Genomic DNA, 19,113 nt, shown 5'->3' with positions numbered 1-19,113 from the left:
GTCTGACTGAGCAGGTGGGGGCTGGCTGTTAGGCCGTGCTGGCCTCTTTGATTCAGCTCACTTCTCCCAGGGCTTATGTGGTTAGGAGATTAAGGAAAGGAGAGGGGTATGAAAGAAAACAAAAGGCCTGTGTCAGGGGAGGCTCAAGGTCTCTGGTAGAGGAAACTCCCTCCAAAAGAGCTAGTTATGAGAAGCAGTGCAGTGCAGTAGAAGGATTACGTGGGCCAATTAGGAGGCCTATAAAACTGTTGGAATGTAGCCACTCTGTTTCTAGGTGGGACGCTCACCTGCCAGGAATTTCAGCAGTAGAAGGATTACGTGGGCCAATTAGGAGGCCTATAAAACTGTTGGAATGTAGCCACTCTGTTTCTAGGTGGGACGCTCACCTGCCAGGAATTTCAGTTGTATTTGGTGAGGAAAATTGGTGGGAAAGCAGGACTTCTCACAAATTATCGTGCAAATATGACCTCGATTGTTTTCACAAGCTGGTCAAATCCATTGTAGATCCCACCCACCTCTAGTCAACTTTAATCTATGCTGTCCATTGTGGTAGCCACTGGCCACATGTGGCTATTGAGCTCTTGAAATATGACTAGTGTGACGGAAGAACTGAATTTTAAGTGTTATTTAATTTTAATTAATTAAAAATTTAATTAAAATCTTAAGCTGTGTAAAATATTTGTCCTGAAAACTTATAAGAAAAATTTGAAATGGGATTTTTTATGTTGATACATTTAGAGTTGATTCTCAATATATGTAATACCTCCTTGAACATGATGTTAATAAATACTGAATGAGATGCAAGACTTAATGAATTTACTTAACTTAGACAGGTGTGGTTTTGAAACTGATGTGCTTTTGCTTCAAAGTCACACGAACTCTTCTGAAAAAGATGAACCACTTTATGTCAATGTGGATATGAAGATCAAAGGAAAACAAATCTTGTGATCTTAAATTCAGTTATTGGAAAACTTTTAAGTATGTTTGGAACAGCTTGGGTACGTCAATTTACTTTTTCAACTATAAATTTTATGAAATTTAAATATAGCTCAAGTATTTCTGATGAAGATTTAGTATGTGAATTGAGATGGGCTATTAGGGTAAAACATAAGCCAGATTTCAAACTTAGTACCAAAAATATAAAACTCTCAATAATTTAAAAATATTGATTACATTATGAAATAATAGAATTTTGGACATAACAAGATGATTAAAATATATTAAAATTAATTTCACCTGTTTATTTTTCCCTTTTTGAGATATGGCTATTAGAAAAATTAAAATTACATATGTAGTTTGCATTCTGTTTCTATTGGACAGTGCTAATCTAGATTATTTAAGGGCAGGTTCACATTTCGTACATCTTCATATTCTTGGCCTCTAACATGGCATTGACATATAACAGGGACTGCATAAATATTTATTGAGGAAAAGGATTTAGTTTTGGAGGGAGCTTTCCACTACTCAGCATGATTGTTGCTCTGGTGAACTGCTAAGACTGAATTCCCAAAATAATGTGTAAACCCACTATTTCACTTCCTCAGGACAATTTATTACCCTACGTGTTTCTCTTGCTTCTTTTCTTTTGGTTGCTGGTACTAAACAATGAGGGGCTGAACCTACCACTAGTCTATTGATTTCCTGTCCCCTCTCCTTTTGTTTTCTTCTCAAAGCAACCACAACACCATTAATTATCATCCAGGGAGTTAGTGACAACTTGTCTTAATCATCTTGTCAGGTTTGCCTTTGTCTTTTTAGTTTAAAGTTGTGAACCCCATTTATACACTTTTCCTGTCTAGGATGTCAGTAAGAACTTTAGCTGTAGATAAAAACAAAACAAAAACAAGGTATGCATGACTTGTCCAAAGAAATTTAGTAGTTTTTGCTCATCCATTTTGCAAAGCCCTTTCTTTAAGATGCAACATGTTTTTTGGTCCAATCCCAGAATTACACTGAAAACTGGACTCCCTGTGGTGCAAATTACCTTCCACTCTCAGAGCAGGAGAAAATGGAATATTTCCTCTTGGGCATGATAGCAAAAACTCTGTCGACTCTGCAACACCACATGTCTATGCTGGGATCTATTCCTGTTCCTGCTCAACCTTTTGTTCAAAATAACCAGTCGATATGATCCAATCAAACCAGTTACTTCAGCTGAGAAAACAGTTTGCTTTAGTTCTTCACTAAACTAGCAGACTAATTTCTCAAACACGATGGTGCTTTTGTGTCAGGGGACTGAGTTTCCAATCAAGAATGGGTAAAGACACAGTCTGGGTCATCCTTTCCCCTTCTTGTGTATTGGGATGTCCCAACTGGAAGTGCTAGGCAAACCTTTATGAATTGCTTGATGTCAGATAACTATGTGGGGAATACGAAGTATGGAGTGCTTCTGTCTGATATTATTACAGCTGCAAGCTAATGTTTTAGCATAAGTATGTCTCATGCAACATGTGGGACATACTTATACTAAAAACCTCTTCCTTTTTTTATCTGAAATTTAAATTAAACTGGGCATTCTATATTTTTATTTCCTAAGTCTGGCAATCCCAGATAAGATTCTAGATTTGTCTCCAAAGAAACAACCCATCCTTTTCTCAAAACAAGCAAGACAATGTAAGGGTTTATAAAATAATATCTATGGGGTGTGTGGAGACAATCAGAGACAGGCATGGTGCTTGATGGTTCTTGCTAAATCAACTTGCTGAAAACCAAGTGAGGTCAGACTCAGATGTCTATTTTTATACCTTTGATGACAAAATGAATCTATGAAGGGGTTGTGAAAACTGTAATGTGCTGCTCTGTCTGCTTTGCTTTTCTTATCCTTTGCATTGTTGATCCTTCAGTGAGCACACCTGCACTCACCAAGGCTGTAAACCCATGAGGGCAGAAACTGGGCCTTCTTTTTATTGGTATCCCCAAAGTGCATCAAAATGTCTGGGCACCAGTACATGCTAAGAAGTGTTACAGATGATCATGAAGGTAAGATTTAAGGATCTTGATATAAAAGAATGTTGAATCTGAAAGCCATGGATGCTCTAGCAATCCCATTGGGAGTTCACACAGCCCTTCAGAAGCTAGGCCAGAGGCCAGTGGAGTTGCCTGGTGTGGAAATAGAGCTCGGTTGTGTTTCAGGAGGTGTCCATTGGGAGCCCTGCTCTGGTCTGCTCCAGAACAAATGCTCTGTCCTTGACACCAATACAAGCAGCAGCCTCCCCTGCCACCTGTCAGTGAACCACTGCCAAAGCGTAATTGTACTGGGATGTTGTGAGAGGAAGCCTGATTTAAACGAGGCCCTGGCAGAGTTGGGGGGCCAGCAGTGCCTTCTCATACCTGTTAATGAAGCCTCATTAGAAACAGCAAGAGCCTGTGCTGGGAACTGGAAGCACCAGTCTGCCACGGCTCTCCCTGCCAAAGGGTGATTAACTGAATGATTTACGGCAGCTGCTCTTTGAGATGATGGTGCGGAGGAGACCAAGTGTGTGCAGCCCTGCACAGCATGCTGTCTGGTGGAAACTCAGGAGGATGCGCAGATACATTCTCCCGTCTTTCCAGTGGCTGAAACGACTTCCAGGTTCTAAAAACTGCATGGCCATTCGGTCATAGAAGTACCTCCTTTTGATGGCTGACCTTTTGGGGACTGTCACCTTTGAAGCCTCCAGCTACATTTAGGTTAGGAATTTAGGTCTTGCCTGAGGGACCAAAAATTAATAGTAACAAGAAAGACAGAAAAGAAACAGACGTCAGTGTCTTGTGCATCCAACATAGCAAGGCCAGCCACCCACTTTGTTTTCTGGCAAGACTCTTGTACCCAGGCGGTTCAATTATGGGCAGCCCCATAGTGTGCAGCTATGGAGATGGATACTTTGCTAAAATGTAGTTTTAGGGTGTCTTGCCTATTTCCATGTCTCAAACAACAAACTGACCTATGTCAAGGGGCTATGCACATTGTAAATAGTGGTTCTGCTCATGTGATCTTTAATACAATTCCTTTGCTCTTGCAGGCCAAAAAGGAAAACCAGTTGTAGCAATTCCAACCAGGATACCATATATCTTGCCTTTTATTTATTTATTTTTTTTGTGTGATAGTCTTGCTCTGTTGCCCAGGCTGGAGTGCAGTGGCACAATCTCGGCTCACTGCAACCTCCGCCTCCTGGGTTCAAACGATTCTTCTGCCTCAGCCCCCTGAGTAGCTGGGACTACAGGCGCCCGCCACCAAGCCTGGCTAACGTCTGTATTTTTAGTAGAGACGGGGTTTCACCATATTCGCCAGGCTGGTCTCGAACTCCTGACCTTGTGATCTGCCCACCTTGGCCTCCCAAAGTGCTGGGATTACAGGCATGAGCCACCGCGCCTGGCCACCTTGCTTCTCTTATAAGCAATCCTTAAGGATAAATAAATGTTCTTTTCTTTGTGTGGGCCTTGGTTATTTGGACCCTCGGGTATGGGGGTTTTCAAATGTACCAGTGTTGGATACATCCCCCTGTCTGGATTAGCAGCTCACAAACACAAAGACTCAGCTTGGATATTTTGGTCTGTAATTCTGTGTGATAGGTAGACCAACAGAAGTTTGAGGGAGGAATGACAAAATTAAAGTTGGGCTTTTTTTTTTTTTTTTTTTCCTTTCAGTTTTAGAGACACTGAGAACCTGTGGTAGGACACAGGTGGTGGTTTCAATTTTAATCAGAAGGCAAGAGAGTCTTGCCTGGGTAGGTGGCAGATGCATGAACTATATTTGGCTGGCTTAGGCCCTGAGAGAACTGGAGAAAGGACCCTGGAAGAAAATTCTGAGGCTGTAAGTGGGGTGAGCAACCACAGTGTAATTAATCCCCCACTTAGATTGAATGGGTTTAGATTGGGCTTAGATTGAAGTTCCCTTTTAACTGATTGAGAGATGCTCTGCCAATAGCAAGTGAAATGTGTGTGTCTGCACATGAATATGCATGCAGAGTATATTAAAGAGGTCTGAATACTCCACGATGCCTGTAATTATGAAACATGTGATAAAGCACCACACTAATCCCCTCTCGAGCAAGAGTGTTGTTTTTTGTCCCAGACTGCGTCAATCCTGCATGCCATGAGCACTGCTTTTGCCTCCGCAGCACTTTTATGTTGACAAACCCAAGAGCAGGTGACCCTAGGGAGGCAGATGGCGTCACACTCAAGGGAATCCTTCCAGAAGCCTTCAAGCATAGCTCTGTGAGCAAAGGCCAGACAGACAAAGTGATATCCATCTCGACCCTATAGTGAGTTGAACAAGGTGGGCAAACTGGACGCTGCGCACAAAGCATTTATTTGAAGGAGGACAAGGGAGATTGCTCAAGCTACAGACTACTCAGATTAAAGCAGAAGGATCCTCTCCACTTCCAGGAAGCTTTTCAGCTCAAGCTGAATTAACCAGGGAATCCAGCAGGGACTGGAGCTCAGGAGAAAGCTCCTCAAGCAACTTCTTGGGTCAGCTGTTGAGGAAGGGTGTTTTCTTCATGAAAAAGAGGAAGTTTCTCCATCAGCTGAAAGGAAACACATAGGAGTCAGAAGCAATGGGTGAGGAAAATCGGTCATTCTATCACAATAGGATTACGAGAAAGGGGGCCATCTCATGAAAGAATCTGGCCTTTGGAACAAGATAGTTTTGGGTTTTAAATAATTACTCCATGGTTATTTGCTGTGAGACCTTGGGCCATGACTTAAGCTCTCTGAGGCTTTGTTTCCTGTCTCTAAAACACGGATCATGAGGTTGTCTTGGCAGGGTTTGGAGGATAAACAAAAATAATCAAGAGTCAGGTCTGCCTTGGCACTCACTAAATGAACGTAGCACATAGATTCTTAAGAAGTAACTCGGCCTAACTCACTGCTCTTGCTGTTTGTTTAAATTGACTTTGTGTGTTTATACAGATGCTCATAGGCATCTGAAAAAAAAATACTTTGTTAGGAACATCTGGCTTTTATAATCAACAAAAATCAATTCAATAAAAGACAGTTGGAGAGGAGCTGGATGACATATTTTCCATTTGAAAGCAGGGCGTGGTTAGGTCGCTTCCTTGAGGCTCTCCCGCCTTCTGAATAAAGAGAGGTTACACAGTTGGAGAGAGCAGGAGACCTGGGCTCCCATCCCAGTGCTGTCTCCGCCTCCTGTGTGATCATGCGCAAATCTTTTTCCATTCTGGGTCTTTGTGTTCTCTCTTGAATCAGGAGGGGTTGGATGATACAATCACTAAGCTGTCTCTATTCCTTATTCAACATATGTCAGACAAGGAGTCTTGGAGGGAAATAAGAAGGCATAGAACTATGATACAAAATAAGGGCCTGGGTTTCTGGAAAGAGTTGGCAAGGAAGCTAAGGCCCAAGGCTGATGTATATGCCTCTGGAATCCTTATCTATTAAAAAAAGAGTGAGTGCAAGTGTGTGTGTGTAATTATGGCAGACTAACTCAACTCCTAGTCCCAACCCCTTGCCTGCCTCCACTATGGAGTCTGGAAAAGCTAAAGAGTTGCTTTCTTAGCCTCCCTTGCAGATGGGTATGGCCAGTATAAGCAGGTTCTGGCCAATGAGATATAAGGGACAGTCCACTGCAAGCCTCAAAATGTCTTTCCTTCACTGATTAAAGGAGAGGATCATTCAAGAAAAAGCCTTTTGACTTTTCATTTTGTTCTGTACTAAGAAAAATTCTTCTGCCTTGGGATCCTGTTGACCTGTGACCTTACCCCCAACCCTGTGCTCTCTGAAACATGTGCTGTGTCCACTCAGGGTTAAATGGATTAAGGGCGGTGCAAGATGTGCTTTGTTAAACAGATGCTTGAAGGCAGCATGCTCGTTAAGAGTCATCACCACTCCCTAATCTCAAGTACCCAGGGACACAAACACTGCGGAAGGCCGCAGGGTCCTCTGCCTAGGAAAACCAGAGACCTTTGTTCACTTGTTTATCTGCTGACCTTCCCTCCACTATTGTCCTATGACCCTGCCAAATCCCCCTCTGCGAGAAACACCCAAGAATGATCAATAAAAAAAAAGAAAAAGCCTTTTTTTTTTTTTTTTTTTTTGCTGCTGCCTCTTCTCTCCCACTTCCGGCCAGGAATGAGGATGTGATGTTTGGATCTGTGGCTGGCATATGGTAACCATGGGGTGACAAAGATAAAGACAAAAAGCCAATGTTGTCATGGTATGTTAGAAAGATGAAAAGAGCTTGAGTCCTTAATGAAATCTTTGAGCAGCCTAGATCACCTGTTTCTGGGACTCTTAAATAAATGATTTACACATCTTTGCTACTCAGAGTGTAGTCTGTGGAGCAGCAGTATAGTCATCACTTGGGAGCTTGTTAGAAAGGAAGACTCTCAGACCCCACCCCAGACGTACTGAAGCAGAATCTGCATTTAAAAAAGATGCCCAGCTGGGGTGTCACGGCTCACACCTGTAACCCCAGCTATTCTGGAGGCTTAGGTGAGAGGATCACTTGAGCCCAGGGGTTTGAGTCGAGACCAGCCTGGGCAACATACCGAGACGAGACCCTGTATCCAAAAAAAAAAAAAAGATGCGCAGGGTTTTGAGTGCACATTAGTTTCAGGAGCACTGGTTTATAGCCTCATTAATTAGGTTCTATTACAAGCAACTGAAACATTCCTAACAGCTATTATGTACGTCCTAGGTATACACATGTATGTGAATGTATGTGTGTATATATACATACATAAATATGCATACATATAGAAAATGTATTAGTATGTGAATATATTATATATATTATTTGTATGTGAATAGGAAAGGAAGGACACAGCTAGGCTGTGGGAATGGGTGCCTATGTGAGAGGAAGTCTGGGGTGATTTCTTCTTAAATACTTCTACAGTGTTTGGAAAATAATTATTTTTAAAGCCATGAATATGCATCTCTTGGATAATTGACGCGGAAGCGAGGCTTACCCGCTCTCCTCCCTGTCCAGCAGGGCGTGGTAGGACGCCACGTCCTTCTGCAGCTGGCACTTGCGGGCCAGCAGATGCGCGCGCTCCTGTTGCTGCTGCTCCGCCTCCGCTCGGATTTCCCTGAGCTCCGCCTCCAGCCGGCCGACCACAGCGCCCAGGTTCTGGAGCTCCATGTCATGCCAGTGCTTGGCATCGTGCAAGGTGTTCTCCAGGCCTCGTTTCTACAAAAGAGCGAACCCGGTCCAAACCCGAGGACAACAGGCCGGGCCCTTGAAGAGGGAGGTGTGCAGAGCAGTGGCAGGGGCTGGTGGTAGCCTGGACTATTCCCCTCGTGGCAGGGACCTTGCCAGTTATGGAGACTGATGGGGGTTATTCTTAGTGGCTCCGTGGGAAAAATAAGGAATCCCACTCAGGTCAGACTGTGGATTAGTCTGATTGATCTTTTTGATGGGAGAGAGGGTGAGGGAGGCGAAAAAGAGAAGGAGAGAGGGAGGGAGAAAAGAAAGGGGGTGTGAGGAGAGAGAGGAGCGGGGCAAGAGGGATAGGGATTGAGAGAGACAAATGAGAGGCAGCTTGCAGGCGTTTCTTCAAAGAAATCTTGTTCTCCGGGGCTTTTTCTTCTGATTTCTTCACTCCCCGGGGGACCCCTTCTCCCTCTGCTGCTGAAACCCCATCCATCATTTGGCTGGAACACCATCTCCTCCAGCTTTCTTTCCCAGATCACTGTCCTTAGAATGAATGTCTCTGGCCTTTATATACTCAGCGCTTTCCCCTTTGGTGTTTTAGTAGCACATTTTTGCCCATCCCTTTTCCTCTGCCGTCCCTTCACTTTGGGCTTCCCAGTGCCCACCCTGAGCCCGCTTTTTTTCCAAGGAGCGCATCCTGGGTCTGTGTTGGTCTCCATCATACTCATGATTTGAACATACTCATGAGTCGTCTCCAGGCCACGTCCTGCGTTGATAATTCCACCACCAATCTTTCCTTCAGTAGCTATGGACCTGCCACTGAACTTCTTACTGGAAACATATACTCAGACCTCACATCAAGGTGTCCAAAATGAAGCCACTGGCTGCCTCCTGAACCTGCTGGCTCCCCCTAGTCTATGCTTCAACGGGTGAACCCATGTGAGCTGGAAACCAGGGAAAGATGTGTTCCTGCTTTCCTTCCTTCTCTTCCTTCCAAATGCAACCATCATGGCCTCCTGTATATTATGAGTCCTGCTTCTTGTATCTCTTGAGAAGTTTTCACATTCTGCAGCCACCATGGTCTGGGATTGGGAGCTTGTCACCTCTCACCTGTGGTACCCTCAGTGGCCTCTTAGCTCATCTCCCCACCTCTAGTTCCTCCTCTTCCTGAGTTCCACACACAAATAGCCACAGTACTCTGTCCAAAGCCCAAACCTGGGCCTGTATCTCCTCTGCTTAAACTCCATTGATGGCTCCCCAGGGCCCCTGATATGGCACACACAGCTGGCCCAGTATGTTTCCATCTTTATCCCCACCCTACAGCAGCATCAACACTTCCAGTCTTGGAGTTTATTTGGTCTGTGTTCTTTCCTCCACCTGCACCATGCTCCTCCATTCCTTCCAGCATCCTCACCTCACTCACTCCTACTCATCCCCAAGTCCAAGCTTAGAGGTAACCTGCCCCAGGAAGCCTTCCTTGAAACTCCTCTGCCGCTACCATCACCAAGCTGGGTTAGGAGACCCTCTGTATTTCCATGGCTCCCCAAGCTCATGCATGCTCTTGAACTTATCACAGTGGGCTAAGCTTGCTTATGGGCACGTCTTTTCCACCAGATGGTGAGACTTGGAAGGAACCAAGTCTCTGTAGTCCCAGCACACAAGTCAGGGCCTGGCACAGAATAGGTTCTTGGTATGTGTAGATTGCCCTGGATGATAGCACTTGTATTATGGTTACACTTATTGCACTATCTATGTCTCCCCATTAGACTGGAAACTTCTTTCTTCTCATCTTCCCATGCACCATGTCCTGAAAACTACAGAGCTAATCAATAAACCCCTTTAAAAAACTGTATCTGTGTTCAACATTTTCCAATAGTTTTAACTATGGTTCACCTATACTTTAGCATCTGGCTTTTTAATATAACACACAAAAAACAAATATCTTTCTAAATTGGATTGAATTAAATTTTGATGCAACAAGTTTCTGTACCCTGTCCTCCAGGAGGAGACTTTTTACACCCTTATGACCACTATGGATGAAACAGAAAATTCTGTCACGACACCATCTTGAATCATGACTGCTGTTAGCATGGATCACCATATTACCTTATTTAAATCTTCTTAATTCCATAGGATATGAGAATGTTGAGTCAGATTCTCATCTGTCTGAGGCATATTTATAAGAGGCAAAACGTGATCACTAGAAAATAAATCTAGATCAGTATCTGGTCTAGGGTTATTATTTAACTAATAGAATCTGGAAACCTTTCTATAGCAGTGAGGATGCAGAAATGGCCACCTTGACTTTGAGCATCATTTGTTCCAACCTCCCTGGGTTTTCTCTCTTTGTTTATGCATGAAAGTACTTAACTTGTGACTAGTTGTTGTTGACATTGGATTTGTAACATCTGTGATTTGGGAACACGCTTCACAGAATCACGGTTGGATCATCTGTCTATAGTTTTTGCTCCATCTTCTAGGTGAGTTCTTCATGTGGCCTGAGGTTTTTCCATGGTGACTTAGGACCCACTGCCAACAGGGCATTCATTGGAACCCCAGCCAAAGGTTATATGTGTCTTCCATCTCACCCTTAAAGTCCGAATCCAGCTTCCCCACCTAAGTCCCTGACATTATGGCAGAAAGAGAGGATGCCTGGTTCTCCCAGAGATGCTTGAGCTGGAGTGACTATGATCAGGCTACTGTTGCAGGCAAGTACACTGGCTCAGTCAGCCACGCAGACAGCACCAGCAAACAAGCTGAGATCACAGAAGCACACTTATTCTGCAGGTCTCTGGAGATTTGAAGGGACTTTCTGGGATTGCAAAATCCTCCAGAAAGTAAAATAGTGACCTTCTGTGACTTCTGGCCTTGAATTCCATTCCTGATTTGAGTTGACTGGACACAGAGTTCAGCAGGTCTCAAGCACCATTATTTGTGCCTAGCTTCCAATGCAAATAGTGCCTTATTGGCAAAGGGGGCCGAAAGTCTCGCCAGCTTGGCTGTCTGAAGCTTATATAAGCTGCGGGGGCCTTGTGTGTGCACAGATCGCTCTGACAGAATAACAGGAATGGCTGGATGAACTTCCTGTATCTGAAAACTGTATGAGAGTTTGTTACCTATTTTGTCCCAATCTGTGCTCCTCACCTTGGCTGCAAGGCCCCGTGACCAGAACGATAATCTACTAGAACCAGCAGGGAACAGAGGCAGCCTGTTCTGGGCTATGGGCATAGACAGAATGGCACTACTCTGAAGTTTTCTGGTTGAGAGTGTAAATTATTTTTCCATTTTTTTCCCCAATGGTTAGGACCCTGGGTTTAAGTGAGGTGACCAGGTGGCTGGTGATGCCAACTTGGAGTTACTGTACTAGTAGCTATTATAGCAATTTTATATGATAATTAATAATAGATGGCATTTATTGACTGCTCACTAACTGCCAGGCACTGTGCTAAGGGCTTGACATACATTATCAAATTAATCATCTCAATGACGTTATGAGGTAAATTCTATTACGATCCTAAAGTGGCTCACACTTGCATTGGCAGCTACAACAATTATCTCCACTCCACAATCGCTTTCTCAATGTGACCTTGCCATTGTCTCATCAAGAAGTTGAATTTATTTCTCTCCCTGTTGAATCTAGGATAGTCTTGTGACTGCTTTGACCACTAGAATGTGGTATAAGTGATGTCCAGAGACTTTCGAGCCCAGGTGTTAAGAGGCCTGGTAGCTTCTGTGCTCACTCAGGTGCTATATCAGAAGTTTGACTATGTCAGGCTGTCATGATATGAGGAGGTCTAAGCTAGCTACACGGAGTGGTCACAGGGAGAGAGAAAAAGAGATGCACAATTGAGTCACCAGAGAAGCTAAATGAAGAAGCCATTTTTGGGTGTTCCAGCCCCAGCAGAGGCCACATGATACAGAGAAGAGTTATCCCTGCTGAATTCTGCCTAAATCACAGAATGAGAGAACAAGTGATTCACTGTTGTCTTAAGCTACTAAGACAGTAACTAGATATGATAGCCAAAATAGATCCTCACTTTACAAGTGAGAAAATGAAAGCTGTTCATTCACATAGCTAGTGAGTGAGGAGAGCACCCACCACGAAGTCTACCTCCTGACTCCCACAGCAGGGGTGCTCTCTCCCATCTGCCCCTCCCTCACATTTGTATCAGCTCCTCCACCGAAGCCACATTAACTCTTTGGAGGCAGGGACCATATCTCATTAGTTTTATGTCTCCAAAGCACTTGGTACAGTTCTAGGAACATAGCAAGTTCTCAAAATAATGCTAAGAGTCAGAAGAGCATGCTCATGTGCATCCACACATTGGATCCCCCTAGAAACACTGAGAAGTGGGCTGGACTGTGACTATCATACCCATTTTGCAGAAGAGGAAACTGTGGTTCAGGGATTTGCCTCTTTACCCAAGGGATAAATGGAGGAGCTGAGCCCTTCTGACTCTATTACTCTTGATTTTCCTCCCCTCAGATCCTCAGATCCTTTTCTTATACATGCTTGCACGGACCTACATCCTATCATGCGCCTCATTGACTCCAGGCCATCTCAGCTGCACAAGGATTACATGGACCAACCTTTGATTTGCACCAACGAAGCTGTAGTTAGAACAATGCAAATGACCTCCTGGAGGGGACATCTAAGAAAAGATGTTTAATACCCAAATAGAACTTCAATCCATTCCAGAGATCAGAGGGTGGATTGCTTCATTATTAATACATTTTATTATTTTAATATTTTAATAAATAATTAATAATGAAAGAGACGAGCTTGCAAATCCCAGTGAGTCTGAGAGCTTACTAGATGTCTCAGGTTGGGTTCTCCAGAAGCAGAGCCTGAGTTAGGGATCCTGGAACTCGCAAATCATTAAGGAGTACTCTCAGGAAAAGGGGGAGTGAGGAAAGCAGGACAGGGCAGAGGAAGGCACTAAGCGAGGATGTGGTCTCTGGAATCTGGCTACAGCCTGGTCCTATGGAGAGCTCTATAGCATGGAGCTAGCTCCATGTTGAAGCAAAAGGGCTGGGCTTTTAATTTTAAAGCCCCCTCTTAGTCACTGGCTGAGCCTTGGGGGGCAGGGCCTAACCTTCTGGGCCAGGTGTCCTCAGTGTGGGTAAGGGCAGGTCTCTGGAGCAGTGGGGCAGCTGAAAAGGGGCGGCTGCAGATGTTAACAGTCAACATTTACTGCAGCAGCCTGGTAAGAGATATTTCCGTGGGGCACTACAGTGTCTATTGCACCTGCTGTGATTCAGTATCTGATGATCCTTGGGAGTCAGAAGACATTTCAGGCCTCAAAACTCATATGCTGTGAGATGGGAATCCCCTGGAAACTAAGATCCATAATACTGGAATTTGACAGTAGAGAGTTAAAATTAGCACAAGGACACCAGGTCTTTCCTTGGCCCACTTACCAGGGCACGTAAGGATTCTGTCTCAGCCTGGAGGCTCTGGACTTGGCACGAAGTGTTGTGTAACTCCACCCTGAGGGCAGCTGCCAGCTTCTCCTCCTGGGTCTGGGACATGTGGGCCACCTCCGCCTGTTGCTGTGGAGAGTCAGGTCTCAGTGTGAGCGGTGATGATCAGAAATCTGAGCCCATCCTTCCTTCCCAGCCTTTCTAATCACCACTCCACTGCCTCTAACCAGAGGAAATACAGCTGTCACGTGGAAACATCTTTTTTTTTTTTTTTTTTTTGTTGAGATGAAGTCTCGCTCTGTAGCCCAGGCTGGAGTGCAGTGGTGCGATCTCAGCTCACCACAACTTCCTCCTCCTGGGTTCAAGCGATTCTCCTGCCTCGAGTAGCTGGGATTACAGGTACCCGCCACCAGGCCTGGCTAATTTTTTTTGTATTTTTAGTAGAGATGGGGTTTCACCATGTTGGTCAGGCTGGTCTTGAACTCCTGACCTCAGGTAATCCGCATGCCTTGGCCTCCCAAAGTGCTAGGATTACAGGCGTGAGCCACCACGCCTGGCTGGAAATGTCTTTTTTTTTAAACAGGTCCCTTCACCAACTTGTATACAAAAATGTATTTATTTTGAACATACGATGCCTGCAAATGAAATACAATTCAAAAGATTTCCTACAGACTATAAAGTCTCATTTTCTCCTGTGTCTTAATTATCCAGTTCTCTTGTTTCTAGTTTCTTATTCCTCTTTCCAGAAATAGTTTATATATTTATAAATAAATATGTATTGCCCCCCCCGTGCTTTGGTACTTAAAGTATCTTAGAAATTATTCTATATCAGTACATATTAGGTTGGTGCAAAGGCGATTGCAGTTTTCGCCACTACTTTCAATGGCAGAGACAGCAATTAATTTTGCACCAACCTAATAGAAATTGAGTACATTCTTTATAGCGGCTGCACAGTGTTGTCTTGTTTGGAAGGGCTGCAATGTATTTAGAAGTCTCTGCTGGTGGACACTCAGATTGTTTCTAGTCTTTCTTTCTCTATTACAAACAATGGTGCAAAGAAAAAGCTTTGATCCCTTATTTTTCATACAAGAGCATGTCTTTGAGAAAGTAGTTCTTGTAGTAGAACTGCTGATTAGAAAGGGTATATATTTTTAATTTTGGTGAATAGTGGCAAATTTCCCTTCGGAAAACTTGAAATCCATTTCAGCATTGTAAGACAGTGCCAGTTGTCCCATACCGCCCTCAAACCAGGAGTTATCCAACTTGATCTCTGTCAATCTGATAGTGCCTGTTTCCTTGTGAAAACCATGTGTCTAGTCACAACTGTGACCCAGACAAAGGGAAGCTCTGTGTTTTTAACTTCTCCCCAGAGCAAGATGGACAGAGTCTGATCCCTCCCCATATATTCAGGGGAACAGGTCATTGTTACTCCTCTGTTCTGGGGAAAAGATGAAAAATGAGAGATCATCCCCATTTTCTTCGATGCAGTCTGATGGAACGTCTCCTAGCCAAGAATGGAGGAGGGAAAAAACTCTACTTTCCTAGGTTACGGTTTTCTGGAATTACCATTTTTACCACATATGAATATTTATTTACAGAATAGTCCAAAGACAGTCCAATCTAATGGACTGGCTAGAAACCCCAAGTCAAGGCTGGGTGCAGTGGCTCATGCCTGTAATCCCAGCACTTTGGGAGGCCGAGGTGGGTGGATCACCTGAAGTCAGGAGTTCAAGACCAGACTGACCAATATGGTGAAAACCCGTCTCTACTAAAAATACAAAAATTAGCCAGGCGTGATGGTAGCGTGAGCCTGTAGTCCCAGCTACTCGGGAGGCTGAGACAGAGAATTCTTGATCCCAGGAGGCGGAGGTTGCAGTGAGCCGAGATGGCACCACTGCACTCCAGCCTGGGTGACAGTGAGACTCCATCTCAAAAAGAAAAAAAAAAAAAAAAAAGAAACCCCAAGTCAAGTGGCTCATAGCTCAGTAGTAGCACCTCCAATTCTTACTGTTTGGTCTTTACAGAGCCCAAAGAATGACCATTAAAGGCTTTGGAGTCGCTGAAGGAGAACAGAAGCCTTGGACCCAGCTCTGACTGGTTAGCCAACAGCTTGTGTCCCTAAGCCATCATTCAGCTTCTCAGAGTCTCAATTTCTGCCCATGGAACACAGACCACAATGAATGGAGAATAATACTCATTATCATATAATGACTCCCTCCTGTGGTCACTGTGAGGCTTCCAGCAGATTAAGCATGCTGAAGCCTTTAGAATCTTAAAAGCATGAAAACACTGACTATATATTTTCCAAATGTAAAAAGTAATAGTGGCCAACAAATAACTTTTGTTATTTAATAGTTAAATAACAAAGTGGTAATAGTTAAATGCTACTATGAAGAGTCAAATATTTAGTAACAATTAAATAGTAATAGTTAAATACTACTAATAATAAAGAATATGTATTAGGCACTTATTCTGTGCCAAGCACATTGTTAACAGTTTTAATCAAGTATCTAATTTAATCTTTACAACCCTATGAAGGAGATGTCATTATTATCCTCATAGGAAACTGAGGCACAGGGAGATTGAGTTATTTGCTCAAGATTATATGGCCAGTGAGAGACAGAAAGAGGATTCCAGCCCAGCAGCAGACCCAGAGATGTGCTCTCAACTAGTATTTAATGTTGTCATCTCCACCAATCTACCAATTTAAGATCCCTAAAATTGGAGGTATCTTCCCCAAACTCAGGTGGATCATTCTGAAGTATACTCCTTGTCTTCCAAGTTCTTATGATCAATACCCCAGTTTTTCTCCCCTCTTTGGGGTTGGGTTCCTGGCCAGATGGGCTGTGTAGGTAGGTAGGAGGCAGGAGGTGGGGCATCCTGGAAGGCAAATGGAGTCAGACAATGTAGCTACAGAGGGTGGCGGGGAGCAGTAGTGAGCTAGAACTTGCTCCTAACAGCTCACGGGAGCTGATTTTTAAATTTTCAGGAATGTTGTAAGTTGACTGCTAAACACAGCCATCATTAGAAATTAAATTACATTGTTACTGGTAACTGTAACAGAGGTAGCTAATAGGTAGCCAGTCAGACATGAACAGGGCGGGAGAGGCACCCCCACAACCAACTAAGAATGTCAGGTGACCATCAGGTGATGGTCAGGTGGTTGTTAACAGTCTCTCTAAAATAATAACTTGTCACAGCTGGCAGGGAAAAGCAGTCTCCCTAAAGATAGAAAAAACCTGAAACTGGTGATCAGCAACTTCCTGATAAGATCTCAGGAGTTGGGCAAGTGAGCTCAAGCATGCACACTAAAAGGCAAAATGGCAGAGTTAAACTGGTATATGACCTCCTAGGGGCATTTAGCTGGTAAGAGAAGAATGCCTTAAATGAGCAGGTGTACAACTCCAGTAAACACACTGCGCATGCTCCCCTCCGAAGTGCTAGCAGGCCATCGCACATGCGGACACCCCACCCCAAGGGAGGAATCGGGAGAAGGGATGAAAGATCCCAGAAGCATGCCAACGTATAAATCCCCAAGTCAAAAGGTCAAACTGCGCACTTGTCTTTCAAGTTGCCTGCTTGGCCCTCTTCCAAGTGTATTTCCTTCCTTTTGTTTCTGCTCTAGAGTTTTTTGTTTGTTTTGTTTTGAGATGAAGTCTTGCTCTTGTCCCCCAGGCTGGAGTGCGATGGTGCGATCTCAGCTCACCGCAACCTCTGCCTCCCAGGTTCAAGCAATTCTCCTGCCTCAGCCTCCCGAGTAGCTGAGATTACAGGCGCCTGCCACCATGCCCGGCTAATTTTTGTATTTTTAGTAGAGATGGGGTTTCTCCATGTTGGCCAGGCTGGTCTCGAAATCCTGACCTCAGTTGATCCGCCGGCTTCAGCTTCCCAAAGTGCTGGGATTTCAGGCGTGAGCCACCGCACCCGGTCTCTGCTCTAGAGTTTTTAAATAAACTTTCACTCCTGTTCTAAAACTTGCCTCCGTCTCTTCTGCTTTATGCCCTTCAGTTGAATTCTTTCTTCTGAGGAGGCAAGAATTGAGGTTGCTTCAGACCCCCTACAGATTTGCCACCAGTAACAAATAATGTGAGTGACTTTTTGCTTAATCAGAAATTAGTAATCAAGCATTTTTTGTAGTCTGATTTTGTGATACTATTGTTGATGATAGAATTATAAAAAATGGTTGGTGAATTTTCCAAGAAATAGCAAGTCATGCTGAAGTTATAGGTGTAATTGAAATAGCAAAGTATTTTGTCTTAAAATTTGTGTTATTTCTAAAATTATATATAAAAAAATCAGTGGGAATTGTTACATTACCCTTAAGCAGTATTGTGAATGTGATTGGCACATATATACATATACATATATTTCACCCAGAAAGCAGTTGTGAAACATTTACCATCACTCCATACGGAAAAGCCAGGGAAGGAATGGAGGCAAGTTTCAAAGCCTTGGTGTGCAGGTCTAGTGTAAAGCTGCTGGCCAAGGCTATAGCCACAGTCCCTCACATGATTTGTCCCCTCTCAATCCAGTGAGCAGCTTCCGTGATATTTACTGGTTTCTTGGCTGAAACACCATGTCTTAGTTTCATTAGCAAAAATACTGTATTTAGGTGTTTCTCAAATGTTCTTGCACCACTGACATGGTTTTTCACACTCTCTTAATACTCATTCATGCTATTTTTATTTAAACCAATTCACTCTTTTTTTACAAATAAACGTGTTTAAAATGGAAACTGTAGGTTAGTTATCTGTAAACTGTAGGTTAGTTTAAAATGGAAACTATAGGTTAAATGCGCATGAGCGTCACCTTAGGATCTTGAGAAAATGTGGGCTCTGATGCAGGGGATCCTGAGTACAGCTCAGAAATCTGCACTCCCAGGTCCATGCCTGCCTGGTCCATGGAAGCAAAATTCTAGATCGCTGCAGAAACCAATGAAACAGTATCCCTTGCAGTGGGTAGAGGATAACTAAAAAATTAATAAAGTTATAACCAACCACTGTTATTAAATTCCAGCTACCATTGACTGCCAAGCTGCTAAGTCCTGAGGCCTGCTTTCTCTTTGTGGAAAGGGGAGATAAATAAGTACAACAGAGGTGTTAAAGACCTCCCAGCACTGAACAGAGGCTTTCTTCTAGTTTAAGATTGAAAGAGCAAAAGAATGTAATTTGATCACTACAAGTTTTAATGTCACTGTGTTCCTTCTCAAATCATCTCACCACAAGAGATACTTCCCACTTAATTGCTTTAACTCACCTAAAGTAACCACTGCTAAAAGTAATTCACCTAAAAGTATTACACATTTTTATCCAATGGCTTTTTAGATTTGTGCTTTCTGGTTATTATAACTCTATTTCTGTTTCCATTTCAACCCTGTGCCTCCAGATTTCTTCTCATAGACCAGAGAGTAGGTGTGTCATCTAGCCCCTGAGGATAGGAAGGTGGGGCTGTGTTTTGTTGCCCGGTGCAGTTGTTAGGGTGTGTGATGAAATTCAGATATGTTGATCCCTAGGCTTTGAAACTGCACAGGACCTGAGCCGCCCGTGTTTGCACTCCAGCAGGGTAGGAGTGCAATTACTTCTGGGGCAGGAGAG

The 19,113-nt window shown here is 43.7% G+C and overlaps 1 protein-coding gene and 1 long non-coding RNA gene across 14 annotated transcripts in view, besides 6 other annotated features; one reads left to right on the top strand and one right to left on the bottom strand.

The window, feature by feature from the left end:
- Positions 1-19,113, top strand: part of BFSP2-AS1 (BFSP2 antisense RNA 1) — a 64,708-nt gene that overhangs the window by 10,634 nt on the left and 34,961 nt on the right. The window lies entirely within an intron of this gene.
- Positions 2,976-3,095: an enhancer, noted in NCBI's record as "active region_20546". NCBI's record gives its function as "activates an Ori minimal core promoter by ATAC-STARR-seq in GM12878 lymphoblastoid cells {active_cell/tissue: GM12878}" and the evidence as "EXISTENCE:reporter gene assay evidence [ECO:0000049][PMID:35858748]".
- Positions 4,943-5,012: an enhancer, noted in NCBI's record as "active region_20545". NCBI's record gives its function as "activates an Ori minimal core promoter by ATAC-STARR-seq in GM12878 lymphoblastoid cells {active_cell/tissue: GM12878}" and the evidence as "EXISTENCE:reporter gene assay evidence [ECO:0000049][PMID:35858748]".
- Positions 5,268-19,113, bottom strand: part of BFSP2 (beaded filament structural protein 2) — a 75,153-nt gene continuing 61,307 nt past the window's right edge. The window contains exons 5-7 of one of the 2 annotated variants that reach the window (NM_003571.4): positions 13,517-13,648; positions 7,911-8,131; positions 5,268-5,507 (exon numbers count right to left, since the gene is read on the bottom strand). In NM_003571.4, the coding sequence (NP_003562.1) occupies positions 5,504-5,507; positions 7,911-8,131; positions 13,517-13,648 (357 nt within the window). In that variant the 3' untranslated portion in view covers positions 5,268-5,503. Of the gene's footprint in view, positions 5,508-7,906; positions 8,132-13,516; positions 13,649-19,113 lie in introns of those variants that run through there. The other variant, XM_017007315.2, reaches the window with a different exon arrangement.
- Positions 6,596-7,255: an enhancer, noted in NCBI's record as "OCT4-NANOG-H3K27ac hESC enhancer chr3:133192065-133192724 (GRCh37/hg19 assembly coordinates)". NCBI's record gives its function as "activates a minimal SCP1, AML or CMV promoter by ChIP-STARR-seq in primed H9 embryonic stem cells {active_cell/tissue: H9 hESC(primed)}" and the evidence as "EXISTENCE:reporter gene assay evidence [ECO:0000049][PMID:30033119]".
- Positions 10,824-10,983: an enhancer, noted in NCBI's record as "active region_20544". NCBI's record gives its function as "activates an Ori minimal core promoter by ATAC-STARR-seq in GM12878 lymphoblastoid cells {active_cell/tissue: GM12878}" and the evidence as "EXISTENCE:reporter gene assay evidence [ECO:0000049][PMID:35858748]".
- Positions 11,846-11,895: a silencer, noted in NCBI's record as "silent region_14745". NCBI's record gives its function as "represses an Ori minimal core promoter by ATAC-STARR-seq in GM12878 lymphoblastoid cells {active_cell/tissue: GM12878}" and the evidence as "EXISTENCE:reporter gene assay evidence [ECO:0000049][PMID:35858748]".
- Positions 13,456-13,725: an enhancer, noted in NCBI's record as "active region_20543". NCBI's record gives its function as "activates an Ori minimal core promoter by ATAC-STARR-seq in GM12878 lymphoblastoid cells {active_cell/tissue: GM12878}" and the evidence as "EXISTENCE:reporter gene assay evidence [ECO:0000049][PMID:35858748]".

This window comes from Homo sapiens, chromosome 3 (assembly GCF_000001405.40).
Source record: "Homo sapiens chromosome 3, GRCh38.p14 Primary Assembly".
In the NCBI taxonomy this organism is placed as follows: Eukaryota; Metazoa; Chordata; class Mammalia; order Primates; family Hominidae; genus Homo; species Homo sapiens.
Note: the sequence above shows the minus strand (reverse complement) of the source record. Positions and strands in the feature narration are given on the sequence as shown.